Source organism: Homo sapiens, chromosome 6 (genome assembly GCF_000001405.40).
Source record: "Homo sapiens chromosome 6, GRCh38.p14 Primary Assembly".
Classification (NCBI taxonomy): domain Eukaryota; kingdom Metazoa; phylum Chordata; class Mammalia; order Primates; family Hominidae; genus Homo; species Homo sapiens.
The window spans coordinates 69,066,400-69,081,626 of record NC_000006.12 but is presented as its reverse complement, the minus strand read 5'-3'; the positions used below and the strand labels follow the sequence as shown (position 1 = coordinate 69,081,626).

The window sequence follows — 15,227 nt, the reverse complement described above, 5'->3', positions numbered from 1 at the left end:
TTATGAGAAAACACACAATTGTGAATATGAAAAAACTTCAAAAAATAATGTATAGTATAAACAGAAAAGCAAAAAGTAAAAGTTTCATTTAGTTTCTCACCAATAAATCTTTAATTGTATTTCTATTTTCTTAGAAAATTAAATTTTTTCTATTGCTTTTTGTAATATTTCTAGAAGAGCAGGGTTGCTTTGCAAACAGAAGCAAACATTTTATCCACAATAAATTTGAAAACCAAGAACCATTCTAAAGTTTGGCATTAGCATCTTTGACTATAATATAAATTTCATTTTTTGGAGATCAGGTAAATTTTACTTTATAAGGACTAGTATTTTGATAATGTAAAGGTCTAGTATTTTCAGTATTTTCAGTGTGAATATAATCAAGGGACAAAAAGCATAACATAGTTTTATAATATTAGAGAATTAATGATTGGACCTGAATGGATAATGGAAAGTTCTATGGAATTTTAACATCTTAGATGCAAATTCCAAAAATTTAACTTATCTGCTTCTGCAGTTCTGCAACATACTGACTACGAATATACCTACTGAGGCAAGGTTACAAGTGTCAGCCAAAATTAGTTATTCTTTTACCCTTCTAACTACAGAAAAGAACAACTACAAGACCTTAGGAACTATCCAGTAAAATGGAACATGCTGGCACCTAGAACATATATTGGACATACAGACTGCACATAACAATGTTAATTTAGAAGACTGAACATCATACGTTTGTCATACAATTGTGATTTCTTACTAAAGTATCGACTGTAATAATGTAATCAGTTACATGTTAACATGTACTAAACAGACCAACCTGTGCTACAAAGGTAACATAACTTCTTGAAGTTAAATAGTTTTCAATTCCTGTCTATGGTTAATTGAATCACCAGGAAATTCTAGAAATAGTTTTCTACTGGAATGATGGCTATACATTGTTAAATATTTTTAATACAGACTTTTTTTTTTCATTGCTGCTCACGAAAAGGCTTCAATTAGGTAATTATGAGTCTGTAGAAGATGTTTCCACATTTCTCTCCAAACAATGAGACCATGATATTGCTGTTTTACGTGGTTACTATTCTTGGTTTATTTCTTAATTGCTTAAATGAAGTCTCCAACAAGACCTCTTTCTTGTTCTTTTTGCTCCTGTATCATACTTATAAGAAGATTATTTTCTGTTCATCTTAGTTTGGTCCCACTCTATCCCAGTTTGAACAGAGCCATATAAAAGAGCTTTATCATTTGGTTATTCCCTGCAGGGAAAGGTTGGCTATCCAATAATAGTAACACTTTGTATAAGTATTTAAAATTTCTAAGAGGAACATATTTTTCTTAAGGCATATAATATTGTGTCTTCCTAATGTATAGATATATCAATCATTCACAGAGCAAAGAAAATGATGTCAACTTCCCTGAAATAAGAAGATGAGGTTGAAGTGTTAGTTTTATATTTGCTAGGAGTTATACTGTGAGGTAAATGAAATTTTGACTTCCAGGATGAATGACAAAGGGAGAGAAAGATATTCTGGTTATGAATAAATAAGGATAATGGAAGCAAAGGAGAGAAATTAGTTCAATTCAATTACTTAACTTTGAGAGAAAACAAGCCAGTGTCAGTCTCAGTCAAGATGTGACTGTTGCTACTCCCAACTCCAATAAATCAATTTGAAATGAAGAAAAAATAGGGAAGTCTAGTCCTTAGAAGCTTTTGTTTTCAACAACAAGATAGGTAAATAAATTACAAATGGATTAACGAAACACTTTCTGAAAACAAACGTAGTCCTTCACAGACTTGAGAGTATTAGATGGATGGTTACAAGATCTGTAGAGAAAGACCACAGGCTAATTTAAGGGAGGGATTATAGGTTTTCCAGGAAATGTAGTCACCACGCATGATCTAATACTCAAAATCCAAATTTAGAGTAGCTCAAAGAATGTGCAAATTACCAATCACTCAAATGATAACTTTGTAAGCCACTTTAAAAGAACATATAACTTCCTCTTTTCCTAGTCGCATACCCTTTATTTCTTTCCCTTGCCTGATTGCCCTGGCCAGAACTTCCAATACTACGTTGAATAGGAGTGGTGAGAGAGGGCATCCTTGTCTTGTGCCAGTTTTCAAAGGGAATGCTTCTAGCTTTTGCCCATTCAGTATGATATTGGCTGTAGGTTTGCCATAAATAGTTCTTATTATTTTGAGATATGTTCCATCAATACTTAGTTTATCCAGAGTTTTTAGCATGAAGGGGTGTTGAATTTTATCGAAGGTCTTTTCTGCATCTATTGAATAAAAAATATTCTCCGATTTACAATAAGCCTATGTCTGAAGTGAGAAAATCACTTTGAATTTATTTCATCTGTCACATACAATGAAGCATTTTCAATATCTTGTTAATTAGTGAGCCAGAACAAAACAAATATGTTTCTAAATTGTCTAAAGATGTTTTGTCTAATGATAGTAAAATAAAATGCCTTTGTTTGAGATAATCTGGGTAATAGATTACCCTTGGAAATAAAATTAATTGTTTATAATGGATCTTACTATTTAACAAGCTGAAACATTCTTCCATCAAATTTCCAATGTTAGCTCTAATAATTGCTAGAAATATTTATCAACTGATAAAATCAAATAGAGATGGGAATAATTCTTAGATAGAAAATGTACCTACGAAACATGCAAACATTCATTCTTTTACCAAAGTAGCCAATAAATATTTATCGAATGTATCTTATATGCAGGTATAGTAGGCACCAACAGTGCAGTGATGAATAAGAAAGACAAAGTATTTCTTTTATGGTGCTTATTTTCTAGTGAGGAAGACAGGTGGTAACCAAACGAAAATAAGAAAAAGGAATGCATGCTGTGAAAGTATCAAACGGGGTTATATAAAGAGAACAACAGGGCAACATTTTGGATTATGTGAGCAGAGATATCCTCAGGGAGAGATGTACAAGGAGATACACAGAAGCACAGTTTAGAGACTAAAATTAATTAGAAATCATGCCAATAGTCATCAATATAGAGAATAGTAAATCAACTTTGATATACCTATACAATGCAGCAGATACGAGGAATGAAATATAGGTAGTGTAAAATAAATTTTCCAAGATATTTGTTGAATTTAAAATTGAGATTGTCAAGTGTTCATACAATATGAAAACATTTATTTAAAAATAGTGTGAATGTCTATGAATGAATACACGTCAATGTATAAATGGATATATGAGATTATGAACAACAAAATGTAAATAGGAATGATCTTAGAGATATGGGTGGATGTGGAGGCCCAAGATGGTGATGATCAGTGGGGCTCTTTACATTAACAGTTCTGCCTTAAAGTTTTACAAGTAAAAAATACTCGTGCATTGCTTTTGTAATTAAAAATCAATTTTTAAAAATTAAAAATAACAGCAACTTGATAAACCAAAATTAAAGCACAACTTCTAATTTGAACTTTATTACTGCAATCTTGAAAATATTTAAGACAGCCGTTTTCTGTATAAAAAGAAGTAGCAGTATCTCTTCACTATTAATTATATTTAGAGGACCTATATTCAAATTCAATATGATTACATCAATAAAACTATTGTGTATATATAAATATAGTCAAAATAGAAGAACAAATGTGAAGAAAGGAAATAAAGTTGCCTTAACCTTCATTGTTTAAAGCTCACCCAGAAAAACACTTTTAATAATGAAACAATCTAGCGAAAACTGTGATGGGAAAGAAGTTCTGTCACAATGGGAAGGTTTTTGATCACTTTTCGGATACATCAAGAAAACATGAACTACACCAATCCCTTGAGATTATCTTCTTTGAAAGACAACTAAACACATTTCCTCTCCCTGGATAGTTTTCTTCAAGGACAACTTAGAAGCTGAATGTTGTAAAGCTGAGACATTCTTCGTGACAGATAAGAGTCATGTCATCAGCAGATGTTAGGGAGGTGTGATTGATTCCTCAGGTGAATGCTAACCTCAGAAACCAATAGTTTGATAAATTCAACTTAACACCTTATACTGTCTATGAAAAGTAGCCAACAGGAGGCACAAAATAAGGAACTATCTCTTGTTGCAGTGTCCCTTTAATAGTCTTAAGGGGCTTTTGGAATAACTAACACTTTCCCCCGTTTAGATCAACAAAGAAGCAGATTCTACCCAGTAAAAAAAAATAATAATAATAAAACTAAGTCAAAGTTGCTTATTATTCACAGAGATATGGAAACTAAAATCAGGAGTTCAAGATAGCACATGTTTCTTGGGCCGAAAACATTCAACTAGATTTTTATAGCATTTTATTTTTCCCTTGGCTATATAACATATTAAGTGCAGCTTAGATTATACCACCAAATTCTTCTCTGGCTATTGGTAGAGAGAGAAAGCTTGCAAAAATTTTACTATCATGGATTTGTCTGTAAAGTTCCAAAAAGAAAAAAATAATAATGACATCAGTAAGGCTATCCAGCTCATGTTATCAACAGGGCAAGTTGGAATTCTCTGTACTTAACTATTGTACTGGACTAGTAGTAAAGGATACCCAGAGTATGAGAACCTATAGCAAAAGAGTATGTTTAATATTAATTGTAATTTAAATTATATCAGCATCCTAGGACTGAGAAAATTGTCCGAGGTTTCAATCTTTTCCTAGAGATTCTAAAAATGCTCCTCTTCTAGACTCTCTGGTGAGAAACAAGTAGCATCACAAAACCTCAGATGTAGATCATATCAGGGGTGAAGAACACCAGGAAAATTCTTAGAATACATACAGTCCAACAATATGGTGCTTCATCTGACAGCATATATAGAGTGGGATTACTTTTGGGATTGATTGATATTTATCTCCCCTCATGCAAAATCAAACCAAGCAAAAAAATAAAAGTTATAAGCTACACAAGTATTTAAAGTATAGGAGTCTAACCAAGACTTAACTACAGATTTTCCTGCTCTTTGAGACATCAAAATCTCAGGATTATCAATAAAATAAAGGTGATTTTGATTAGATATATTGCAATTACTTCTACAAACAAAAAAATAACATGGAAGAATTACTCATACTTATTTAGTGCAATTATTTTTTCTGCCTGAATTCAAAAATATACAAATAAAAAATTAAATGTCACTCAATGTTTTTATCACAAAACAATTTGGAGGGACCATATAAATATTGCATTACTCTGATAATAGATTCAAGGTCATGTGAGTAATATATTGGCTAAATGACCATAGATCTTGCTATTTTATTCTGCAATGCTAAGCTGAATTACTAGGACAAGATGTTAAGATGGCATTCGAGCTTCTATCAATTCTAAAATATCAGAGCTTTTAAAAATTCCTCATGGAATTCACATTGCAATGTGCCTTACACAGTAGGTAATGCAATACTATCTTGAGATGTAACCTGATGGCATCATTACACACAAACACATTCATCATGCTGTCCTGAAGATTCAAAAAGAGGATTTTTTTTTCTCTGAATGCAACATCCCACTGACTTATATTCCTGTTAACTAGCAGGCAGCTGAACTAACTTAATGTGCTTTGAAAATTTAGCCCAAAGTAATGTAGGAAAACATCTGTCACTTACGTTTTGGAGTCATCCCACAATACACAATAGGGATTCAAAGTACCCTAAAAAAAAAGCAGAGAAAGAATGCATATATCTTGAGTACATATATAAAAAGATTGAGGGATTATGTGAAATAGAAACAGAATGGAAGATTTCTTATCTTGTGGTAAGAAATACTTTAATGATTTCTTTTTAATTATTTATAAGAAATTTGCATTTCGTTTCTCATAGATTTAGTGACTCATTTTATAAAGTTCTATGAAAACAATATCTTTATTCCAAATACTCTAACTTGTATTTAGTTTTGCTGGAAGTTAAAAGCAAGGCTCTCATACACCATAAGTCCATATTTTGACGATTTTGATTTTATACTTATGTCTCTAAAACATTAGTTGCTAGATTACTTTCTTTAAGATTACAGTATTCACAATATTGAAATCACAGTGAAATATCCTATATTATGCACATGTATAATCACCACCACTACCTCCTCTTCAGCCTCTAGTTGATGTTTCCTAGAGATAAGAGATGTTCATTTCTGGAGTTTGTCAACTTGCAATATCCTCTTAATTAGCATATCATGGTTGTATAGGATAATGTCTAATGAAATTTTAAGTGAAAATGCTAGATTTTAAATTTACTTCAATAATTATGAATTGAGTACCTGCCGTGACCTTCAAGATAACACCATGGATTTTTCACACTGCATTATTCAATGTGCTTCTGTTTTGAAGAGTTCTAATGTATTTAGATACATGTTTCTACAGATTCTGTCATATGCCTGAAGAGTCTTCTCTTATCCATTAAACATATACTGTTGGTTTCAAGTTCTCTCATCCTCCACATGACTAATTTCCTGGAGCATACACTTTTAAAGTGTATTTAGGGAAATCATTCACTTGTGTCTGACTTGTGCACAGCAAAGCAGTACCACTACCTCTCCAAATCAGGTGCTCTCTTCCTAATAATGCAAACTAAGATTGTATTAGATATTTGGGTAGACTCTTCCTGAGCTAGATAGGTATTACTCATACACTGCAATCTCTGCTGAGCTTTTAAAATCCTGATTTTGGCATCCCACCCATTCAGTATTGCTTTTAAGTTTTGTGTCATTACAGGATTAAACAAACAAACATGATTATCTATGCCTTCATCCAACCTGGTCATTGATAATAATAAACAGACCAAGGCAGTTAAAAGATACAGTCCTGAGGCCGGGCGCAGTGGCTCACGCCTGTAATCCCAGCACTTTGGGAGGCCAAGGAGGGCAGATCACGAGGTCAGGAGATTGAGACCATCCTGGCTAACACAGTGAAACCCCGTCTGTACTAAAAATACAAAAAAATTAGCAGGACGTGGTGGCAGGCGCCTGTAGTCCCAGCTACTCTGGAGGCTGAGGCAGGAGAATGTCGTCAACCCAGGAGGTGGAGCTTGCAGTGAGTGAGCCGAGATCGTGCCACTGCACTCCAGCCTGGGCGACAGAGCAAGACTCTGTCTCAAAAAAAAAAAAAAAAAAAAAGTACAGTCCTGAAACAGGCCACTGCCTTCCTTCCACAGGTGGACACCGTACCTCATTGCCAGCAAGCTATGACCCAGCCCTCAGGCTTCAGTGTTGTCTACATATAGACAATCACTGGAGTGTATCTGGGAAAGCAACATCTTTGAAAGTCCAGAGAAGCTCTTTTGGAGGTGTGCCTTTGTAAATGCTGTCTGATAGGTCCATTCTAAATTTTTGCTAGAAATAAATAGTAAGCTTACTGTTCTAAAATGTATGAAATTCACTCAAACCTTACATATTATTCATTTTAATTGGTACATGACTAACTCCAATATTGCAGCATCCCAGTTATTCTAAAAATTCCCTGAAAGGCCACATATCCAAGGTATCTTACTTTTTTTTTTTAAGCAATCAGAAAATGCATTTGTTTTTGTTTCCCATTCTTCCTTTAAAATTTATTTAGTAAAAAATGATCTTTTTCTTGCTTCTGGATGGAAATTTAGTCATAAATTGAAAATAAACCTCCGAAGTTTTGAGCCACTCTTAAATAATAGACTTTGGTGGTCACATTAAATCACGATTGTCATGTCATTAGCAATTGAAAATGATCTGTTACAAATAATCAAAACACAGAACCTGATTGAATGTCAGATCATCTTCTCTCCTCCAGATGAAAGACTGGGGCGGAGGTCGGCCATGACTCTGCCAGTGGCCAGGGTGGTAGAGGGGTGAGGGAGGGGAGGTAAAGGAGGCAAAAGGTTTTCACCTGCCCACTAACGTCCAAAGTCAGCTCTGAGCAGTCTGGCCCTATTTTATGATTTAAGTTGACTCTTCTCACTGAGACAGCCAGGTGGGAAGGGCTCCCTGACAGAACTTCCAAGGCCTGTGCAGTATAAGGAATGTGCAGTTGGGTGAGCCTTGGGAGGTTCACAACATTTGCAGGGGAGGAGCCTGGCCCCTTCTCTCCTGGGGTGGAAACTGGAATTCAGTCTGCCAGGGGGAAGCCAGCTAGCAGGACTCTGGCTTTGCCGAGGGCCCCTGTTTCATTTTCATCCCCTCTTTTCCCAGTAAATTCCATTTTTTTTTCTCACCCTTCAAAGTGTCTGCAAGCCTAATCTCTCATGGCCATGTAACAAGAACCCGGCTCTTAGCTGAACTAAGGAAAAAGTTCTACAACATCACCAGCACTTGGGTGGATTCTCAGGAGACTCCCTTGCTGGGCCCCACTGGTAGTCACATCTCTTGGAGCCTCTCCTGCCGGGCACTTCTTACCTCCCTGCAGCTTCTGCCCTTTGATGAGGTGGGGTCTTACTTGTTAGGGAATGCTCATATCTCCCTACACTATGCTCCTACAGTATAATAACACTGTCTTTCCTGAAAAAAGGTCATAGTCCTATAGAAGTAGATGAGGAACATAGACATGGAATGTTCCTGTAACAATCCAAGCAAAATGCTTACATAAATATCACTAGCCATAGTTTACTGAGTAAAGGACAAATGGGGGAATGGAGTGTCATGGCCTATGCTAGTCAGCACAAGTTTCATAGAAGAAATGGGTTCTTATCTGGTTCTCACAGACGGCATAGATCCAGATGTTCCATGGAAGGAAAGGGGAATGGTGTATTAAATTGGTTTCTTCTCTATCTTATAAGATCCTGTCCAGTCTTACCTGAATTTTTCATATAGCTTGTGACTTTCTGATAAATCCTCAGCATAGCCAAAATGCTGTCATAAAGTTATGCTATATTTACCTAGTGCTTTGTTCAAAGGAGCTCAGAGAACCTTATAGAAAACAAATTATCCTTGTAACATCACAGTGAAGAGTATGGGAGTATGCATTTCAAGGATATAGAAACCAAGTGCAGCTGAGGAACTTGAGATAACAGATCCATTAAATCTAATTGGCTGATTTTAATGATGTATAATGTAGATTAAGTTAAATCTTTATATAAACTAATATAAGATACGGACTATAGGCTTAATATTTCACAATGATTGTTCACAGTAAGCCACAACAAAAAAAAAATTAGAAAAGAACACATAAACTTAATTGTTTGGATACTTCTTTCCTTTTTATCACCCTGAAGAAACTGATTTATTCTTCAAAAAAGGTTTCAAAACGAGAAATGCTTCTTCTAATCTTTTTCCATGACTTTGTCAACATTCAGTTTTATTCTCCATGTTCTTCACCCCTTACTTCTTAGATCCTGCTGCATGCTTCTCTTTCTTTTTGTGGTTATGAAAATTTAAACACCATACATGTGAGCATTATTATAGGTTCCAAAATGCATCATTCAATCTTAAGTTTCACTACACATTCTGGGATGTATACAATAAACATTTATTCTAGTATAGTCACCAATATGTGAGACTGTGAGCTAAGGTCAATAGTTCGAACATTTGAAGTTTAGAAAAATAAGCTGAACAAACAAATGAGAGAAAACTTAGTACCTAAATAGACTAGTCACTTAAATAATAAGAATGTGACACGGAAAACAAAGCAACCAATGATGAATGGATTCTAAATATTAAAAAAAACAAAGCTGGCTAAAAGGTTTTGCTGAGTAAGTACCTGTAAAATATTTGTTATAATTTTCAGTTACTTTTCTCAAAGGGACTCTGCTACAAGATCTGTTATGAAGAATTTACAGAAAATCAATAATGAGAAGTAGCCCAATATAACAAAATGTAATGACACGGTGAGAGGAAAAGAGAGAAGCTAAGTACTAATCTGTAGAAGTAGTTTTAACAAATGCAGTAAACTAAGAAAACAAAAATTCTCAGGTAAACAAGACAGATGGGTTAAAGAAGATTAATTTACCAAACTATCAATAAATAGTATTTGTTGACATACAAAATGGTAATACTGCACATATTTGGAAACTAAAGAAAAGGAAATTATATTCTTGACAAACATGTTTTTGGCAAAACAAACAAACAAAAACTGCCACTCTTGGCTCCATTCAAAACTCTAGCTGAACTCTACATGTTTCTATTTACTCACTTTTAAGCATTTAAAAAATGCACCACTGCTCAAATTTCTAATTGCCATAGATGTTCTACATACCACTCTTGAGTGACTTCACTATTTTCTTTTACTTCTCTCCTCTGTTCCAACGTCAACCAAACAAATATATTTACTTGACAGTAGAATATATCACTAGCTTTGCCAAAGCATTCCAATGGATAGTTCTCTTTTGTTGAACTGCATAACTTTTGTTTTCTTATTTATAAAATAGGTTATTTGGACATCTTTTCTAGCCCTCACTTTTAATGATTCTAGAAATTCATTTTATTCTTTCAAAACTCTCTTCTAAGTCTTTTTAAGGAAATACTCAACTATGTTATATTACCCTCACAAAGTGCAGAAGTCAGAAGAGAGAGCAGGCAGATGATCACAACAAGTCTAACCATTCTGCAACCATTCTGCATTCATTTACTAAACATCTATTACATTCCAAGAACCATTCAAGGCACTGTGATACAAGGATGAGCAAAACTAAGTCCCTGCCTCATGTATTTCACCATAGTGAAGGGCAGAGAGAGAGAGGTACGACTAGGTACAACTAGGAAAATAGAGTGGATAGTACTTTTGTCTATTAAGAAAGCTTCATCAGCAAGATTATCTTTGAGCAGAGATCTGAAACAAGTTGGTTACAGAAAAGATAACAATAATGTCACAATACAAATGACCAAGTTTCTTTAAACTTTCCTTGGTGTTTTAAATTTTCAATACATTCAATGCATATGCTACCTTAATCACACTCTTGATATATTAATGATGTTTTCACAGTGTTTTCTCTAGACCTACTTCAGAATAAACTGGGATGCATACTGAAAATGTAGATTCATTGGCTATAGGAATGTTAAGGTTGAGGCTAAACCTAGAAATCTGCATTTTAATAATGGCACTCTTGCCTCTCCATAATTTTTTTTCACATCAAATTTAGAGAATCACTGCTCATGATACACATGGCAGAAATAACATGCTGAAAACATTTAAACCTACTCAGTAATTTTGAAATACACAATGCATTATTATTTATTTTAGTCACCATTCTGTGCAATAGATCATTAAAGCATATTCCTCCCATGCATCTACTGAAACTTTGTGAGGCGATGGATTTGTTCATTACCCTGATTTAAGAATCCTATATTGTAAACATATATCAAAACCTCTCATTGTACCCCACAGATCAATACAATTATTATTTGTAAACTACAAATACAATTGCTTAAAAAAAGAAATAAAGTGGTTACTCTATTTTTTATTCAGATTTTTGAATGCTTGGTGGTTATATGCCATAATAAACTACTAATCTTCAAACTTCAGAACTTTTTTGTACCTTTCACAGCCTCCTTGAAACAAAATAATCTCTTTTCAGTGGAGGCACAGCAAGTAAATAGGCAAGGCAGCTAAGGGCATGAAGAAGGGCAGTGACTTCATCATAATTATTTGAACATTTCCAGTGCTCTGAGTCAGATGTTACAGAATGAATTTTTCTGTCACATCGTTCAGTGAGTTGGACATTTGATCTGTTGAGTGAATGGGAGAAAGACTCTTCAACTGACACTGTATTGTCTCTCTTTAATTTCCTAAATTTTAGATGGCAAGGCATTACTTTAAAATGACCTGGATTTTGCTAAGTTTATCCTCTCTCTCTTTCCCTACTAAAGATTGTTATTATTGTATATAACTACCCAAATAGATTTTGGAGATTCCTCAAGAATATTTCCAATTTGCCTAACTGGATCTGCAAAAGACTAATTCATATTTTGTTCATAAATTTTTTTCTTTTCTTTCTTTCTTTTTTTTTTTTTTTTTTTAATGAGAGAGTCTCACTCTGTCACCCAGCCTGGAGTGCAGTGGCACAATCTTGGCTCACTGCAACCTCTGTCCTCTGAGTTCAAGCGATTCTCCTGCCTCAGCCTTCTGAATAGCTGGGATTACAGTAATCTGCCACTGCGTCCGGATAATTTTTTTTTTTTTTTTTTTTTTTTTTTTGTATTTTTAGTAGAGACGGGGTTTCACCCTCTTGGCCAGGCTGGTCTTGAACTCCTGACCTCATGATCCACCCGCCTCAGCCTCCCCATAATTTTAATGATACTTCAGAAGGACACATTAAAAACATCTCAGGAATTGCTAAGGGAAGCAAGACATTAGTAGACGTAAATTTTTCCACAGTCAAATCCATCACAGTCCGCTAATAGTTGATCAGTGAGAGGGACCCATTTCAGTGTCATGTCTTTTAACATATGAACAGTTCTACAGTCCCTTAAAGAGTAAAACACCATGCAAGGGGATGAGGCAGTGAAAAAATACAATATAAAACTCAACAGGAAGTAATCTCCTGGATGTTCTTCTCCAATATGTTCTCAAAGTTATGATAAGTACTGTTCCATATTTTAGTATTTTAAATGATACTTAGAAGGAGCTAAGTCTGGGTCTTATGTTCAGTTTTTAAGGGACAGCTGCTGTGTACCTAAAGCCTTAAAAGACACATTGAGAATACAATACTGTACTCTTATTTGTTAGGAAGCTGGAGATGTAGATAATTTGGATGGATTTTATGAGGATTCTCATCACATTGAAAACTAGACAAACTAAGATGGAATGAAAAAAAAATTGGCTTTAGCTAAAGCAGAATTACATGAAGGCCACTGAAGTGAGAAATGTAGAATACTGTTTTAATTAGAATGAGTCCCATCTATGTTACATAGCTATTCACAGAAAGTTGGCAGCTATTTGATTGGAATACAAGGAGAGGGCACATATTTAATATCACTTCTGCTATACAGTTAGTAGCCCACATTAACCACATGACACTATTTTTATAGATGTGATGACAGCTTGCTTCTCTAATTTCTGAGATATATCACTAACCTGCATTATTTCCAGAGGAATACTTTCCACTTGTCATATGGGAAGCAGTAAAAAGCAGAACCATCATCAGGACGTTTTTACATGTATATGCTTCAAAGAAAATCATTGCCTCCACATATATGTCTCAGAGTGTCCTACCTGCATGTGATCACATCATTTCCAATAATGGCTGCACAAAGTCTGGTGTACCTCTCAGCAAGCAAATGGGTCTTCTAGAGTTAAAACTGTGCAAGTATTTAATATTAATTAAAGTAGCAAATAACTTTAATAAAGAAATAGATTAATTAAATAACTAGATTTTATATAGGTACAATATATAGCCTATGTCTTTTTCTTTTACGTCCAAAAGCAATATAATGATATGTCCTAATACTAATTATATGGGGTTATAGCAGAGACATGTAACACACATATGCGTTTTGACATGTACTCACACAAACATCCCTTTTGGCTTGTAACACAGCACAGTCATAGATTCTGGGGATTAGGATGTGGACGTCTTTGGAGGAGTCACTATTCTGCGTATCACACAGGGGTTGACAATAGCCCATGAGCCAAATCTGACCTGCCATCTGTTGTAAGTTACTTTTTATTGAAATACAGCCACACCTATCGGTTCATATTGTCAATGGCTGCTTTCAGATTATAACACCATATTTCAGTGGATGTGACAGAAGCCATTATGGCTCTCATGTCTGAAATTCTTTACGATCTGACTCTTATCTAAAAAAGTTTGCTGACCCCCTGCTCCAACAATAGCACAATCATACTAAAGTGTTTTTAAAGAATATCAATTATGTATTATAATTAACAATAAACTAAATTTGAAACATGAGAAGGATGTCTACTGAAGAAATTTAGGCTATAACCAAAAATGTAGCCAGAGAGCAATTTCTATCTCAATTTCAGTTGTTGGAAGAGCCTTTAATCTCCTTGTCTAGTAGCATTTCAAGACTCTCCATAAAAGTTACCAAGAACTGTAAACAGACAAAATATCAGAAACCACTTCCAAATGGATAAAGCTAGGGCAGAAAAGTAATTCAAAAAGTAAAGGCATATCAAACAGCCCTTTGTGAAAATTACGGATGCACACACTGAACTTTTCAAAGTTTTGCCAAGTGATTTTTAAATCCTTAGGTTATTAACCTTTATATTCATGAAAATACCCACTGATGAATGTTGGAATTTCTTTTCATTGTTTCTCATGCTTATCTAATGATAACAAGCATATTCGTTACAGTTGTCACTGTGTTTTCCACTATGATTTACAAAGGTCATAGGGTCATGGTTAATTTTCATTTAAAATTGGTTTATACACATAAAACAAATTTCTTAATTTGTTAGCTTCATGCTATTAGAATGCACGCAAATATGGCAAAGAAAACAAAACCTACAAGCCCAAATTTTCATTAGATCAATTTGAGAACTACAAACATAACGCATTTATCTCAACCCTGAAAGCAGCAGTACCCTACCTATACCATTTGGAGTTGATGCCCAGAGGAAAAAAAATTTAAAAGCCAAGATGAGACTGCAGGCTGGTATGGTCCACTCTATCTTTCCATTTGAAATGGAACTACATGAAGACTTCATTTGGAAAAAGTATGCATTTTCAGGCTTGCAAAGTTGATAGAGCATGAGATAACTAAAATGCATTTTACCTTCTTTTTCTTCTGACTCATCTTTAAAGATAAAGATGTTATTCACCTTGGAAAGTCACAGTAGGCCCAGACCTGTCAGACACAAGGGATCCTAATAGCATATGTGTTTGTCTACATAGGGATCTACTCATTGCACTCATTGGCCCTCAAGAATTATTTTCAATAAGATGATTAACTTTCCTTATGCATTATAGGATCTAAAAATTTGATGAGTATAAATGTCACTCTTAAGTGATATAAAAAACAAATTTTTGGAGGGAGAAAAAAATTTGATATTTCTTTAAAGCAATTAATTGTTATGCTTAAGCACTAAAGACCATATACCCTAACTTTATAGGTCATGACAATGAAGCCATCAGCCTGAAAAACTGAACTAAGAATAGTGTCTTACTAATTAATGACTAATCTGGTTAAAGCTGCAATTGGCTTTGCTAAACAGAATTTGGAATTGCTAGGTTCCATATTTTATTACCTATTCCTATCAGTTCCCAAGAGCCTTATTATATTTAACATATTGTAAATGCTATTTGTTAAAAAGCTTTCTGAGACACATTTTTAAAAGAAAATGTTAACAGGCTTTTCCTGTTAACTCACTATAACTCACTGTAACTATT

At 34.3% G+C, this 15,227-nt stretch overlaps 1 protein-coding gene across 1 annotated transcript in view; it reads right to left on the bottom strand.

Annotated features, from left to right (window-relative positions):
* Window positions 1-15,227, bottom strand: part of ADGRB3 (adhesion G protein-coupled receptor B3) — a 754,225-nt gene that overhangs the window by 307,880 nt on the left and 431,118 nt on the right. Inside the window, exon 17 of the mRNA NM_001704.3 lies at window positions 5,589-5,632. Coding sequence (NP_001695.2) covers window positions 5,589-5,632 — 44 coding nt within the window. The remainder of the gene's footprint in view (window positions 1-5,588; window positions 5,633-15,227) is intronic.